The sequence below is a fragment of the Homo sapiens genome, chromosome 18, assembly GCF_000001405.40.
Source record: "Homo sapiens chromosome 18, GRCh38.p14 Primary Assembly".
NCBI classification, from domain to species: Eukaryota; Metazoa; Chordata; class Mammalia; order Primates; family Hominidae; genus Homo; species Homo sapiens.
In genome coordinates, this window is record NC_000018.10 from 14,729,301 (window position 1) to 14,747,459 (window position 18,159).

General features: G+C 35.3%; 1 long non-coding RNA gene across 1 annotated transcript; it reads right to left on the reverse strand.

Moving 5' to 3' along the window:
• Window positions 1-65: 65 nt before the first annotated feature.
• LOC105372007 (uncharacterized) lies at window positions 66-18,053 on the reverse strand. Its single transcript, XR_935178.2, has 4 exons — window positions 18,013-18,053; window positions 6,405-6,627; window positions 1,957-2,105; window positions 66-1,374 (listed from the first exon to the last, which is right to left on the reverse strand). It is a non-coding gene; the product is annotated as an uncharacterized LOC105372007 (long non-coding RNA).
• Window positions 18,054-18,159: the final 106 nt, after the last annotated feature.

An 18,159-nucleotide genomic window follows, 5' to 3' on the forward strand; every position in this document is an offset into this window, starting at 1 on the left:
AAATTCCTAATAAGGCGGATGGATAGCCAGGAGGAACAAGAATGAACATATAGGAAAATATTGTATAACCTTATTAAAGAATTTTATTTAAAGAAGCAACTTGATCCTATTCCCATTTTAGTAAAATCACTGTAATACATAGAAAGGATTATGAACCAACAACACTGAGGAGAGAAGTTAGCTTTTTCAGAGAGAAGTTAGCTTTTTCAGTGATACTTTCAAAATCATAGAATTCTGAATTAGCAAAATAACAGTGAGGCAAGAGGGAGAGATTTAGTAGATGTTATCAATCATGATACTCTTAACACAGCAGTAGCTGCCACATAGAGTGTTTATATAGTTAGGTGCTGTGTATATCTCAATGTATTTAACCCACACAAAAACCTTTGTGTTGAGTTCTACTTTAATTTCAATTTGGCAGATGTGGGAATTAAGGCACAGAATTATTGCATTAATTGCCCAAGATCATGCAGTTACTTTAAAAAAGCATGATTCTGGCTTCAGATTCTGGGATCGCACCCTCAAAAGTATACAATTTCACTAAGAGTTTCTGTGACATCATTGTCTGTGGCCTGTGACAATGTCAATGAACTTGTGTCTGACTTGGGGTGTGGGTGAATTGTAGTAGTGCCGTGTATAGAAATATGTGCACACACACACACACATACACATACACACACACACACCCCAACAACTAAGAATCAAAGAACTTGGGTCATCTTTTGAGAAGCATGATTTGAATGATGTCTCAAAAGCAGTGTATATATAAATCCAGCTATGATTAGTGATATCTGAGCTGGCAGAAGAGACCTGGGAATTATCAGTCCATCAATAATAATTAAAGGCATGAAAATGAGATAAAAGTCATTACAAATAAGAAGCAATTTGAACTGTCACTGATCTCTAAATAATAGACATATTGTAAAGAACAGGCAGAATAAATTGAATGAAGAGGAACTGAGAAGGCATATCCAGAGAGGGAGAGAGAGAGAAAGAAAGAAGCAAACTCAAAGAAGTATGGTGTTCCACATGATAATGTAAGTGAACAGAGTTTTTGAAGGTAAAATTCAAATAGACAACTGCCATGGTTTGAATATTTATATCAAAACTTAACGTTGATATTTAATCATCAGTGTAATGATATTGGGAAGTGAGGCCTTTATGAGGTGATTAGGCCAGGAGGGATCTGCCCACATGGGTGGGTTAAACAACTGTTGAAAAGGGCATTCAGAAATGAATTTCAGCTCCTCTGTTCTGCCATGTGGGGAACAGTGTTCCCTCCCTCTGGAGGTTGCATCTTAGAAGCAGAGGTGGGGTCCTTATCAGACACCAAACTTGCGGCTGCCTTGATCTTAAACTTCTCAGTCCCCAGAACTGTGAGAAAAAAACATTCTGTTATTTATCAATTACCCAATTTCAGGTATTTTTTTTGTAGAAGCACAAAACAGACTAAGATAATAACTCCTATCTTTATTCTTATATAATTTTAATATGATTCTTTTATAAGATTCCCAAAATATTAGCCCTGTCATTTTCTCTCCGTTATTTACAGCAATTTTTCTTTAAAAAAATTCAGCTTTTATTTTAAATACGGGGGTATATGTGTAGAAATGTTACATGGTATATTAGACCCACGTAATGAGCATAGCACCCAAGGGGTAGTTTTTCACCCACGTCCCCCTCCTTCCACCCTTTCCCCTTTCCCTAGTAGTCTACAGTGTCTATTATTTCTATGTTTATATCCATGTGTGCTCAATGTTTACCTCCCATATATACATTCTTAGTATGGGGGTACCATTCTTACCTGTAGGGCAACAGCAAACATTACTATCTGTGGACTTGCAGAGTCGTGGTTCCACTGGCGTGAAAACACATTATTATTACATTAGACCAAGACCTAGTTTATAGCAAAGGAGAAGAGCAAGTGGGCCCATGACCATGAGATGACGTACTTACCCATCCAGAAGCTGTCAGCTGGAGAGAGAGTTGAAAAGGCCCGCACAGCTAAAATGTCAGTTTGGAGCCAGTACTTTCTGAGAATTGTGTTTCATCATCTAGGATGCAGCAGATAGGTTGAACAGAAGACCTTTGATGGCTCTGTGGCTCTAGTGGAAAGAATATATGCATTTGGAATCTAAGGTATGCAAAGAAGAATGGCGCCATTAATTAATATAATAGTTCCCCCTTATCCTCAGTGGATCTGTTCCAAGAACCCCCTGGGGGTGCATGGAATTGCAGGTAGTAACATATCCTATGTATACTAAGTTTTTTCCTATATATACATATCTATCATACAGCTTAATTTATAAATTAGGAACAGCAGAGATAACAATAACTAATAATACAATAAAAAATTAAGATAGTATGCCAGTATTATTAATCTTGAGCTTTGGGATTACTGTTAAGTAAAATAAAGTTTACTTAAGCACAACCACTCAATCACTAATAGCCTACTACTGACCAGAAGCCTTACTAACAACATAAAAAGTAAATTAAAATATATTTTGTATGTAATTTGTATTATACACTGTATTCTTAACAAAAAATTAAGCTAAATAACAGAATGTTATTAAGAAAATCAGGCCGGGCACGGTGACTCACGCCTTTAATCTCAGCACTTTGGGAGGCCGAGGCAGGCGGATCTCTAGGTCAGAAGATTGAGACCATCCTGGCTAACATGGTGAAACCCCATCTCTAATAAAAATACAAAAAAATTAGCCGGGTGTGGTGGCGGGTGCCTGTAGTCCCAGCTACTCGGGAGGCCAAGGCAGGAGAATGGCGTGAACCTGGGAGGAGAAAATATACAAAATATATTTACTATTCATAAAGTGGAAGTGGATCATCATAGTGATCTTCATCTTTCTCATCTTCATGCTGAGTAGGCTTAGGAGGAGGAAGAAGAAAAGGGGTTGATCTTGCTGTCTCAAGAGTGGCAGAGGCAGAAGAGGTAGATGAAGTGGAGGGAAGGTAGGAAAGGCAGTCACACTTGCTGTAACTTTAATTTTTAAAAATCACATATAAATGGGCCTGTTCAGTTCAAACTTGTGTTGTTCAAGAGTCAACTGTATATTAAAGTTATTATGAATTGTCACAGAGCCGTTCATAGTGAAATGTTGTACATAACTTAAGTGTCAGATCAAGACTGCCTAAATAAATTAGAGCACACCTGTACAATGGAATGACATTTAGCAAAAAAAGGAGCTAGCCCTTTTTATAGAAGAATCATCAATATATATTTAATGTGAATAAAGAATGGTGCTGATATATATATATAGTATGATATTAGTTTTGCAACTTAAGCAAAATATTTGTAAAAACATTTGCTTCTGTATGCCTAAAACCATTGGAAAGATTGACAAGAAACTAAGAACGTGATTTTATTTTGAGTAATAGTTGTACTGAGTGGACTGAGGATGATTTTCACTGAATAACCATGTATATTTAGGTATCTGTTTAATGGTTTAGCTACTCAAAAAGTATATAAAGTTATATCAAGGACAAATTATTCCAATGAGCAGGATTAAAAATATTTCTAACATAAATATTATAACTGAAATATTATCTACTTATTAAGAGACAAATAAATGACTAAAGTACTTCACTATTCTCTAATATTTTGTTTGGACCAAAGAAGGAAATAATTTTAAAAGCAGTATCTTTAAAAAAATCTTAGTCTAACAAAGTACACTAAACTATTTGTTGCTTAAACTCCATCACTTTAAGTTTTACCTGTAAAGCCATCTAAATAAATACTTAAAGTTAGAGGGGGAAGATAAATAAGTAGCTTTTCATCTGAATACATTACAGTTGAATTACAGTTGATCTTTAAATAACATGGGTTTCAACTACACCACTCCACTATAGTAGATTTTCTTCAGCTTCTGTCATCCCTAAGACAGCAGGGCCAACTGCTTCTCTTAGCCTACTCAATGTGAAGACAATGTGGTTGAGACCTTTATGATAATCCATTTCCACTTTATGAACAATACATACATTTTCTCTTCCTTATGATTTTAATGTTTTCTTTAGCTTTATTGTTAAAAATACAGTTATATATATGTATATCATACAAAATATGTGCTAACTGACTTTATATGTTATTGGTAAGGCTTCTGGTCAACAGCAGGCTATTAGTAGTTAAGTTTTGGGGGAATCAAAAGCTTTTTGGGGATTTTCAACTGCTCCAAGGATGGTGCTCCCAACTCTATAGAGTTGTTCAAGTGTCAATTGTATTCTTGCATATTCTGTTAGTGCAGTAAGGTGTCCAATTTAGAATGCTAGGAGTTGTTACAAACTTTTCTATTTGACTCACCATGAATAATCAACTGGTAGCCAAATACTGATTATAAAAATCTCCATTGTGTGTGTGTGTGTGTGTGTGTGTGTATGTGTACAGGTACTGAATACTTTTTATTACTATTAGTAAATAGACCTAAAGATTCCTCCCTGTTTTGCTGAGACTGTTAATTCATTAATCTACTATATACTAGGTGTATGTCATTATTTCATTGTAAAGTTTGATATTAAACATCACTCTTTCATGATGCTTGAGAGGTTACTCTGGGAAGAGGCCATGACATTTTTTGTCACTATGGCTTTGTCATTTTACAGAGTGAATGACAACAATAGTTTGTTGAATAAATGTGTTGATATGAGATCTACTTCATAAAAATGCACATGAATGCATGATGGAAATTAGAATAAATCATATTGAAAATTATGACTGTGACTCTTCTCTTCCAGTTTATCTATATTTTTTGCTTCAGAATAATTCTTAGTTTTCTAAAGTGTCATAGAAATTACAAAGGGTCTAGTCCAAAATGCTTATCTCATATCTATTATTTAAAAACAGGAGCCCTTGAAGCTATGTATTTTCAATTACTTTATAATTACATACATTGCATGATTGAAATCAAATTGAGAAACATGTTTCTCTTGTGCATACAAAAAGTCTTATCATTGCCAACGTGCAGCCACTTCTGACAATTAAAGTTCTTTACATCAAGAACTGTTTTTTCATTTTCAGTCAAAGATACCAAGCATTAATTCAAGTGTTTTTCTTATTTTTTATTACATTCATGGACGTGTTGAGATGGAAGTTAGAAACCGAGGTAAAGAATAACTCTCATCTGAGATACAGGAAGAAAACTCAGGTATGCAGGAAAATATTAATATAGTGCTTTAGGCCAAAGAGAGCACATCACCCTCACACGCAGCTTTAGCTTTTGGGGATTTGATATGGTTTGGCTCTGTGTCCCCATCAAATTTCATCTTGAATTGTAAGCTCCATAATCCTTACCTGTTGTGGACAGGACCTGGTGGGAGGTGATTGGATCATGGGGACAGTTTCCTCCATGCTGTTCTCATGATAGTGGGTGAGTTCTCATGAGATCTGATGGTTTTATAAGTGTTTGACAGTTCCTCCTATGCGCTCTCTCTTTTTTTCTCTCTCTCTCATTCTCGCTCTCTTGCCTGCTGCCATGTAAGACATGACTGCTTCCCCTTCTGCTGTGATTGTAAGTTTCCTGAGGCCTCTGCATCCATGCTCATGGAACTGTGAGTCAATTAAACTTCTTTTTGTTATAAATTACCAGTCTCTGACAGTTCTTTATAGCAGTGTGTAAACGGACTAATATAGGATTGATATAAATACAAATAAAAGTACCCATTTGCAATACAGCCTCTGCCAATCCTGTGATTCTGACAACTCTCAGAGACAACCCTGATTCAGGTAAGCAGGCTTACACCAACTACATGTATATTACAAAATATTTCCAATTCTGTCTCAATCTAAATATAAAAGTACAGCTATCTAAAGTCTACTTTGTATATGTAATATATCTAACTTGAAAGTATGTGAAATTACACAAAAGCCTAGGAATGAACTTCAATCTCTGTTCTTTTTCCTAAATTATTTATGCACACCATTTAAAATTCCAATAGGCTATCAAACTGTTTGGCAATTTCAATAATAAAAATTATCTAGATTTTTAAAAAATTCAGATATTGCAATATATCCATCCTTTTATACTGTTATTTTAAAATTCTTTTTTTGATAATAGTATTTTAAAAATAATTAATTATAATAAACATTTAAACACAGTTTTCAATTATTTATTATATACCTGGTAATGTGTTTTAAAATTTATGAAATTATCTAACTTAGTTCTTACAAACTCTTTGAAACAGTTATTAGTATTGTTCAGTTTTACAGATGAGGACATCAGGCTCTGATTTATTACATTCCATTCTCACTTGAATCAATTCCATTCCAACACTTCAAAAAAACAAAATGAAACTATTATTGCCAGTGTTACAAATAAAATCCATTTTGAAAATCTAATATAAACTTTTACTTCCTGCCTGATCTTTCTACAGCATTGAATCTTCCTACTACCATTTACCTGGAAACTGTTCCTTTATTTCAGGGACAACATAACCTTCCCTCTTCTCTCTCATGTCTTGCTTGCAGGTCCTTCTTACTTCATTCAGAAACTCATCGTCCAATCTCCAACCATGTAACTTTGAAATGTTCCACAGCTGAATTTGAGGCCACTGCGTTTATTATCAAGATTCACTCTCCTGGTTCCTAAATCCTGTCTCATGGCTTCAAATATCATTTAGATGCTGAGAATTAAAAAAAAATGCATCGCCAGTTATGGCCTCTATTTTAAAATCCAGAGTCAAGTTTAATTAACAATTTGACATTTTTCCTTGAACATATAGTACGGTAGACAATCTCAAATTAATATGCCACAATCGGAACTCAATCTAACCTTTTCATACTCTGATCACCCCCTTCAGATGTGCTTTTATTCAAGGGTTCCATATTTTATAAAAATGAACATATAAAAATATTTGCAAATAGCCTCTATCCTATTAGCATTGTCAAAAATATTTGAATTTTCATCAACTCCTCTATTTATCTTACACCATGTATTGAATCTAACAGGAAATTCAATTAGCACTATATGTAGCCACAATAACTGGTTCTTGCCACCACCACCCTTTCTCTACTATATATTTTTCACAGTGACCTTTAGATTTTCTTGCTTCTGATTTGACAGCTCTAAGTTCAATCCAGGAGCCATTGTCAGTTTTTCAAAAGGAGGTGAGAATGTATGACTCTTCTGTTCTCTGGTTTCCCATCTCACTCAGAAAACACATGCACCATTCTTTGTGCACCAAATAGCACAATCTTTAAAAGTAAAGGTTTATATTTTGCTTTATATATATTTTATCATCAATTTCCTTGAAATATATATTTCTAGTCAGTACAAACCACAGATTACTAGAGACTCTTCAGCAGAATAAGAAATAAGCTAAATATTATGATAAATAAATAACACTCCAAAATAAGGAAAGGCTTCTGATGAATCTTGCCATTTTCAGGAAATCCACCTGGAATCCCATTCTCACAGTATTGGAACTCCCTAATTCTCCCTTTAGCTGCTCATTGTTCACCTAGTCTTTTCACTCTCTCCATCAAAAAAAAAATTTCCTCAGGAAAGGCTCTGATAGAGGAATCATAGTTAGATGAACTAAAACTTCAAATTCTACATATATATACATATATATACGTATATACACATATATACATATATACACATATATACATATATATACATATGTATATATAACTTTAGCAGTAAAAACAAGTAGACTTTAATACTGTTACTTTATAATTCATTTAGGAAAAGAAGGAACACCTTTGCAACTACTCTCATTAAGTTACCAAGATTTTTTTCAATACTAATCTTCACAATTCATATTCAAATACTAAGAATCACTAATGCCTTTAAAAAATACATGTGTATTTCCAATAATTTGATATAGGCTCTCAAAAAGTCATTACATTTTGAGGGTAAAATTGAAACAACCTAAACACTAATGCCGAGTAATGAATATAATAGTTCACACATATTAAACAGCTAATCCATATGTGTAAGACATTGTTATATATATACTTATACACAAAAACAAACATGTATGTGTGTGTATAAAATCTCAACAAATCTCCATAAGAATTATTAGAACTAGTAATTAGACACAGTTGTTCTACTTCTGTAACCCATGATCTTAAACCATTATAGAATAAACCTTAAAAGCAATCATTATTTTCAAAGACAATTTTGAAACTTGCCTTGTGCAAGTTAGTAAATAACTGTGCTCCTTGGTTTCCTCATCTGTTACACGGGTAGAACCTACACTGTTACATGAAGATTAGAGCAGTTAATAGAATATTTTAGTATTTATAGATCTAGAATATAAAAAGGAATTAATAAGTTTTAAGGAGAAAAAAATAAGGGAAAAATAGTCTCATTTTCAACCCTACTAAACATAAAATGTTTTTTACATTTAATTTATACATGCAGGGTAGGTCAGTATACTAAAAATAAAGCACATTTAATTTGAAATTTTAGAAAGGGGTAGATTGTTCTTATTTAGAAAATTGCAGTACATTTTAATTTGTGAGCAGGAGGTCATGGTGTTATTTAGAAACAGTGACAAGAAACTTTTTTTGGCTATTGTAAATGGAAATGGAAAAAAAGAAAGAAAAGCCAAGAGTAGTCATTTGACTCCAACAAGCAGTTTTTAAAAACTATTTCATGTGATTATCAGCTTCAGTTTGAAAGGTTATATATCTGATAAACAAAACACAAAGGAAAAGCTTGATAATTAACAAAAAACTCTATAGTATTTCCTTTTTTTCCATCTTTTCCCAGGTCAGATTCTTGCAAGCAATGGAAAATTAGTGTTTATTTAAGATTTAATGACAATGTTAATGCCACTGTCAATCTGGATTCTTTATCTAGAAAGGCAAATCTGATTTACATTAACCTGAACACCTTAATATCTAATTAAAATCTCAGCCTTATGGCTAAGTTCTTAGACATTTATTCTGTTTAACTCAGCAACAAAATATTATTAGTCACTTTCTTTTGAGAAAGGTGAGTCTAGTTTATCGGTACTATTAGGGCATTTTATAATCTGCAACCTAATTAGCCTTAACAAAATATTTTGTACTCAGCATGACTCAAATATTTTACCCAATAACTTACTGAAAAATAATTCTGCCATTGCATTTCCACTCTAATATACTGCAGTGATTTTCTGTTTGCACATATTTGTCCATGTCATATGTTTGCTTGAAAGAATGTAAAACAAAGAATGCATATAGATTATTAAAGAAATCCTCCCAAATTTGTTCACATATATTAGATCCTAAAACTAAATAGGTTAGTTTTTTTCTGAATTGAAATAGATTAACAGAACATATTAACTGAAATAACTGTCATATTATTTATAATTCTTATCAGACACATGCAATTGAGCCTATGACCGAGCATGAAGACTCTATAAAGGACATCGCTCAAGTACACAATATGATTTTCTTTAATTTTGATCTGAAAGACTGTTAATAGAAAGACTGAAATTCTGTCAAACAAATTGATTACATTTCTACTGGATTTGGGAAATATGTAGCATCTGTGATAAAGTACTTAATCATCACTTATTGTCTTTAGTGTGCAATTTATTATATCCATATTTTTATACCCCTCAAAGTATTTGCAAAATTAATAGAACTTTCTTAAGAATACAGTGACTGTCCTCAAAATCCACTTAATAAATTGGTAGCCTCGAATTTATATTTCATCTACTCTTCCAAAATAATTATTGTATTGTTGGTTTTAAATCTAACATCTCACTATTTCTTTTCTATTTTATCATATGCTTTTCTGGTGCATATTTTTTTCTGCTTTATGTTGATTTTTATGATCCTATTTTTTTCTTTATTAAGTTTTAGGTGTAACTTTTTATTTTGGTAGTTACTTCATAGTTCATAATATGCAGCTTTAACTTACCACAGTCTACCTTCAAATGATATTACATCACTCAGACTGATTTGTGAGTACAGAGAGACTGGGCAGGGACGTAGATGATGAATCAGAAGCACCTGACTCATTTAAAATGCTCACTAATCTTAGTAAAATAAACCCATACAGAAAATTCTTTTATTTTAAGGTGAGTAAACATGCACACACATGGCCCTGCAAGGTCATTCTGTCAATCAGCCTTAATCCAACCCATGAGATATCAGTTTACCAGTTTATGATCATTGCCATAGAAGAGTTTTTTTATTTTAGATTCTAAGTTTAAACTGAAGATTCAATGGATGTGGAACTAGTTTTATTTTTGAGCGAGAAAATAACTCAATTAAATGTACTGTGTCTCAAAATATGCAGTATACACACCACCATGAAAACGAGACAACAGTAAATAAATTATGACATCTAGAAAATTAGGTAAGACTGTGTTCAATAATGAGGCAAAACAGGATGTGAATGTCACTTACGCTATCAGAGAGAAATGTGGGGTTTCATCCACTAAATGTGAGGTTGAATGTATAGAACGTTATTTCAAATATGTCTTGATTTGTATCTAAATTTATATCCTATAAAATCATGCAGAATATGAGGAGTCATTATCTAATTTTCAGTAGGAAAAATGTGAATCAGTACTAATACTAAAAACTAATAATTTACTCAATGCCAGGCAATGTTTCTTGTGTTTTATGTTTTTAGAAAACAATTATGAGATAATTGTGAAGAAAACAATTCTTCACTTTTCAAGAAAGAAAACCAAAATAATGAGAAACTAAGTAAGTGGCCCACCCAACGTCGTATAGTTAAGAAATGACTAAGTTGTAGACCTTGTAGACCTTAACATGGTTTGTTTGTTTGTTTGTTTGTTTGTTTGTTTTGAGATGGCATCTCACTCTGTTGCCCAGGCTGGAGTGCAGTGGCAGGATCTCGGCTCACTGCAAGCTCTGCCTCCTGGGTTCACACCATTCTCCTGCCTCAGCCTCCCAAGTAGCTGGGACTACAGGTGTCCACCACCACTCTCAGGTAATTTTTTTGTGTTTTTAGTAGAGACAGGGTTTCACCATATTATCCAGGATGGTCTCGATCTCCTGACCTCGTGATCCGCCTGCCTCGGCCTCCCAAAGTGCTGGGATTACAGACGTGAGCCACCACGCCCGGCCGACCTTAGCATGTTTTTAAGTAAAATGTATTATTTTTCATGTGTAATATTTGCTCTGTCTCTCATGTATACATAAAATTATAAATATAATCATGAAGAGAATTATAATAGCCAACTTTCTCTATATTTCAGAGATATTGGTTTGGCATTGCTTTCGGCAGATATTTCAACATTAGCCTCTGGAGTGGAGTTGGGGACAGGTTGATCTCAGTGTTTCAAAAATATATGAGAACTGTGAACCTATATTAGTGGATTGCCTATTGGCGACTTCTAGTTGAACACTATCAAAATTGACAACTAAAAAAATAATGAAATGAGAGAAAGTGTTTATAGCGCTTAAGAGGATAAATTAGTTTCTTTATGTCTAGATTTTATATTAAATAAAGAGCTTTCAGGAAAAGTAAATGACAGTTAATGATTTTGATTATAATCAGTCAGATTTTTTTCCATATTTGAGCAAAAATTGTAATTGACTTATCCACTGCTTTCAGTGTAGATTAGCTGAATCATCTAACTTATGTCATCTCTTATAAATATTGATTGAGATGAAAAATGAATAAATGATTTATTTATCTTATAACAGTTCTATGTTGATAATGTAAAAAATACTGACAGGTTCATCTAAAATATGTTTGGATAAGCTACATTATATATGATTCATATCTTATGTATAATTTATATATCATATTTGATTGGTTCATACACAAAGGAACAAATGTTTCTATATAAGAAAGTTATTTTGCTTATTATAGAATTTAAAACTAAAATGATTCTTCCACGATGGCCATTTAGCAATTTAAATTTAGGAAACTTCTGGCATGTTCAATTGAGTATTTACTTTGCATAATTGTGTTCCATATCTTAATGCATTCCCTTTAGCAGTTTCTTTCAGCAAGCAACACATGTAACCTTGTTTCTCACTAAATATTTTTTATTTTAGCAAAGTTTTAGACCTAGAGATTTAAAGAAAAATTGCCAAGATGTTACAAACATGAACTCTTGAACCGAATCTTTTATTTTTAAGCATGCAAAACGGTGTGGTTTTTTAAAACCCTGAAGACATAAATGTACCACTGAGAACCCAAAGAAAATTGGACTGTTTTGTTTTGTGATTTGATGTCTGAAAAATAAAATCCTTTAGTTTCCTTTCATTTTTCCTCAGAGAATATAGACTGTGTTGTGATGTCAAACTCATTCTGAGTTTAGATGCCCCATGGGCAAATCGTTTGGTCTAATTAAAACAAAATGAAGACAAATCTCTTACAAGTAAATCTTTGATGGTGGGAAATGTAGCGTCATGTTTTAAAAGCCTTCACAGAAGACAAAGTACCTCTCAATCTTGTAACTCTACTTTTTATAGCTACCCAAAATAATTATTAAGGCATATTTGATATATTGTAATCAATTTATATTTGTGTTTTGTTTAATAATTGGGCTCCTTTGGACCATTTGCTGCAAATATCCTATATTAAAAAAAACTTTGTCTAAATATATCATGCAGAAAAATATTTATACCTAAAAATATAAACTCCATTAACAAAAATTGTTCAGCAAAACTCTATTAATTCAATACATTGTATGGTTAATTTTTGTAGCCAATTTTTCCTTTTCTTCTCTCTAATGATGTGATGTTCTTCAATGTCTTCTGAAAACTTGAGCATAGGAAGTTGGAAGTGTATAAAGCAAAACAAATAGTAAGGAGAGAATTTAGAATGCTAATTTTTGAAGGGGAAATATAAATTTTACAACTCTTAGTTTGCATTTTAAATTTATATTATTATCTGTATTTAAGTATTTAAGTTGATTTTCACCAGCGTGTTAGTGTGTTTGTGTTGTTGTAAAACAAATACCTAAGACTGGGTCATTTATAAAGAAAATAGATTTATTTGGCCCTTGGTTCTGCAGATTGTACACAATGCATAGTGTCAGCATCTGCTTGTGGTGAGGGCCTCAGGAAGATTACAATCATGGCAGAATTTGAAGGGGAGCCAGCATGTCATAGGGCACGAGAGGGAGCAAGAGAGAGAGGGAAGGTGCCACACTCTTTTAAACAACTAGATCTCCTGTAAACTCTTTACCACTCATTACCCAGGGGAGGGAACCAAACCATTCATGAGGGATTTGCCCCCATGACCTAATACCTCCCACTAGGCCCCATATCCGACAATACAGGTCACATTTTAATATGAGACTTGGAGGGGATAAAACATCCAAACCATATCAACTGTTCACTGCTAACTACTAAATCAAAGAATTAATTTTTTACAGGCAATGTATTATTCTTCATTCAAAGAAAAATACTTGACTGGACCTTATGAGGAGAAAATGTTAATCTCTTGCAGTTTTTAATTAAATAAAATAGTTTGAGGCTATTTGTGCAAATTAAGGCCATTGAGAAGGACTGTAGACTATAAAAAGATTCCAGACATTTTCTATAAACATATTTCATTTTATATATATATATATATATATATATATATATATATATATATATATATATATAGTTGTTATCATGGTAGATTTATACCACTGCCATCTGGAAGTAATTCCCTTATTCAATACAGAAGGATTTCTCATCCTTCTCCTAAATATTTTCTTCTAGCTCAGAGTGCCTGTGGCCAAAACAAGGGATTTTAAAACAAAAACAAAAAATTCTGCTATCCCCATGTGGGTTATCTTTCTTTTGTAGTCTTCTTTTTACTTGAGTTAAAATATTTCCTTTGAATTTCGACTGGCAAAGATACTGAAGGACATCGAATGTGGTTTAGGGCACTGTTCCTGCGCCTGTGTTCACTAGATCAGTAGTGGAGGTGACTGGAGATATTGGAAGAAAGAAAGAAACTAGGGTAGCTCATATCACCCATTCCACGTTTTTTCTCTTTAGGATGTCCCAGCCTGCAGTGAAAATGAATTCTGTTCTGCCTCTGCTGTGCGGTAAATTTAGCGATAAAGTTTCTGCTCTGTGCTCTGTACTGGAGTGTAGTGTAGGAAAATCCCTGTTGCTAAGCACCACGCCAACAACACCATGAGCTACAGAGATCACATGTTTATTTCATTATGCTTTACTTCTGTTTTTTGTTTTGTTTTTTTTTTTTTTTGAGACGGAGGAGTCTGGCTCTGTAGCCCAGGCTGGAGTGCCGTGGCGCGATCTCGGCTCACTGCAAGCTCTGCCTCCCGGGTTCACGCCATTCTCCTGCCTCAGCCTCCCGAGTAGCTGGGACTACAGGCGCCCACCACCACGCCCAGCTAATTTTTTATATTTTTAGTAGAGACGGGGTTTCACCGTGTTAGCCAGAATGGTCTTGATCTCCTGAGCTCATGATCTGCCCACCTCGGCCTCCCAAAGTTCATTATGCTTTACTTCCATGTCTATCTCGAATTGTTCCATATTCAGAGAAAACAGGAAGGTAAGTTGTTAACATTCTTCATTGCAACCAATTTTTTAGAACTAATTCTACATTGAGGAATGTCTTATATTTTAACCAAAACCTTTCGATAAATTACAGAGTTGCTGAATATATCTAGATCTAAATCTTAAACTATATCTATAGCTATTATATAGATGTATATGATTTATCAAGAGCTATTATCTGGAATATATACTGGATTCCTTTTACAATTTTCATAATGTAACCAGAAAATGACCCTTGAGATCCTTGAGAGTGATTATGTAAACATATCCTTGATTTGGTGTCTCCAGCCTAATTATCACAGTTAAAATTTTGGTATTAAAAATGGAGCAAAGATAATAAGACTTGTAAAGCAGCAGACCTTACAAAATGTTAAAAACAATTTTATTTACGTAGTGCCTCCACACAGACCTAATTATATGTATTAAACCTAATGTTTAACATTATTAGCGAGTCAGAGAATTTAGAAAAATCAGACATAATTTTAGATAAAATAAATATTAATACTAGTCATTAATATTAATCCCTGTTTGATAAAATGACTCTATATGAAAATAACTGCCCTCAAATTACTTTCATCTCACATATTTTTAATGAAAGGAAATGGTGGCTGGGGGCAGTGGCTCACACCTGTAATAACAACACTTTGGGAGGCCAAGGCCGCAGATCACTTGAGATCAGGAGTTCAAGACCAACCTGGCCAACCAGGTGAAACTCCATCTTTACTAAAAATACAAAAGTTAGCTGGTTGTGGTGGTGGGTGTAATCCTAGCTACTCGGGAGGCTAAGGCAGGAGAATCACTTGAACACAGGAGGTGGAGGGTGCAGTGAGCCAAGATCGTGCTACTGCACTTCAACCTTTGCAAGAGATCAAAACTCTGTCTCAATAAATAAATAAATAAATAAATAAATAAATAAGGAGATGGTATGGAATCATTATTAATGTTGGGCCCCTCATGTTAGCTAATATGTTTAAACCTAGGTCAAGATAGAAACTGACCCAGATTATTAGCATGTTTCAGTGCATAATATTTTAAAATAATTCAACACTGACACATAATACTATGCTATTCCACTTAGATATAAAAAAATGGCAAGAGAAGTCTCATGTTCTTGTCCCGGCATGGTGACTTACACCTGTAATCCTAGCACTTTGGGAAGCCAAGTGGGGAGGATCCCTTGAGGCCAGAAGTTTGAAACCAGACTGGGCAACATAGTGAGACCTATCTCTACAGAAAATTTAAAAACTAGATGGGCGTTGTGGCAAGCACCTGTAGTCCCAGCTACTGGGGAGGCTGAGGTGGGAGAATTGCTTTTCCCAGGAGTTCCAGGCTACAGGGAGCTATGATCACATCACTGCACCCCAGCCTCCGTAATACAGTGAGACCCTGTCTCTTAAACAAAAACAAAAAATAATCCCAGAATTCTAATGTTCTTATATGATACAGGACTTTTAAAAATTAGCCAGGCATGGTGGCCCATGCCTGTAGTCCCGGCTACTTGGAAGGCTGAGGCACGAGAATCACTTGAGCCTGGGAGGCGGAGGTGGCAGTGAGTCGAGATCACGCCACTATACTCCAGCCTGGATGGTAGAGTGAAACTCTGTCTCAAAATAAATAAATGAGTGAAAGTACACCGAAAGTTTTAACTTAACAAATTTTATTTACGCCTCACATTGATGGAGTGACAAGAACAAATAAGTAATACTAATGAAGGTATAGGATATTTTACAATTTTTTAAAAATTAGACCCTTATATACACAAAGTAATTGAATTTTTTTTTTTTTTTTTTTTTTTTTTTTTTTGAGACGGAGTCTCGCTCTGTCACCAGGCTGGAGTGCAGTGGTGCGATCTCGGCTTGCTGCAACCTTCGCCTCCTGGGTTCAAGCAATTCTCCTGCCTCAGCCTCTCGAGTAGCTGGGACTACAGGCACGCGCCACCACGCCCGGCTAATTTTTTGTATATTTAGTAGAGACGGGGTTTCACCATGTTGGCCACGATGGTTTCCATCTCTTGACCTCGTGATCCACCTGCCTGGGCCTCCCAATGTGCTGGGATTACAGGTGTGAACCACCACGCTCAGCTGCAAAGTGATTTAAATTTATCAACAATTTTAATGCAAAATTTTTGTCATTTGTGATATTTTCCAATAGCTTATCCGAATTCCTTAGAATCAGATTTCAAAATAAGATTCCCAAGTCAGATTTCTTTGAAATTACAATCCGAAAATATTTAGATTTTAGAAAGGTAATGTGGTAAATATTCTGCCTATTATGGAATAACTCTAATGGCAAATCATATGAATAATCACATGAACTGGGATCAATAAGACTATAAATACCCCTGGTCGGGTGCGGTGGCTCACACCTGTAATCCTAGCACTTGGTGAGGTTGAGGCGGGTGGATCACAAGGTCAGGAAGTCGAGACCATCCTGGCTAACACGGTGAAATTCCGTCTCTACTAAAAATACAAAAAATTAGCTGGGCGTGGTGGCAGGCACATGTAGTCCCAGCTACTCGGGAGGCTGAGGCAGGAGAATGAATGGCGTGAACCCAGGAAGTGCAGCTTGCAGTGAGCCAAGATCAAGCCACTGCACTCCAGCCTGGGCGACAGAGCGAGACTCCGTCAATTCACTAGGGATAAAAGTCAGAAGAACAGAAATTGTGAGTTCCTTTGTGAAGATCCAAGGACCTTCAAGGACCTCTGAATAGCCAAGAATAATCATTCCTGTTTTTCATCTTCAATGGATAAAAGAGCCCATTATACCTTTCTAGCCTATTCTGGAATAAGTAACAATGAAATTTTATTTAGTGTAAACTAACAAAGAAAACAGAGTAAGTTAATGAAATGTAGTCTCTACAACTTGTTAGACTGTTTATTTTTTATTTGTTTTTTATTTTTAGTTGGACTTTGTTTTTGAGACGGAATCTCGCTCTGTCACCCAGTCTGGAGGGCAAGGGCTTGATCTCGGCTCACTGCAACCTCTGCTTCTCAGGTTCTAGTGATGCTCCCTGCCTCAGTCTCCCTAGTAGCTGGGATTACAGGCGCACACCACCACGCCCAGCTATTTTTAGTAAAGACAGGGTTTCGCCATGTTGGCCAGGCTGGTCTCCAACTCCTGACCTCAGGTGATCTGCCCGCTTCAACCTCCCAAAGTGCTGGGATTACAGGCTTGAGTCACGGCACCAGGCAACATGCTAATTTTTGTATGTGTGGTAGAGACGGGGTTTCACTCCATGTTGGCCAGGCAGGTCTCCACCTCGATCTCAGGTGATCCACCGGACTCGGCCTCCCAAAATACTGGGATTACAGGCCAGAGTCACCGCGACCGGCCTGCGTCCATGTTACTTAAAGTACAAAGTAACCTACAAAGTAACCCGCCAGGCGCGGTGGCTCACGCCTGAAATCCCAGCATTTTCAGAGGCCGAGGCAGGCGAATCACCTGAGGTCGGGAGTTGCCGAGACCAGCCTGACCAACATGGAGAAACCCCGTCTCTACTAAAAAAAAAAAAAAAAAAAAAAAAAAAAAAAATTAGCCAGCATGGTGGCACATACCTGTAATCCCGGCTACTCAAGAGGCTGAGGCAGGAGAATCGCTTGAACCTGGGAGGCGGAGGTTGTTGCAGTGAGCCGAGATCGCACCATTGCACTGTAGCCTGGGCGTCAAGAGCCAAACTCCGTCTCAAGAAAAAAAGATTACAT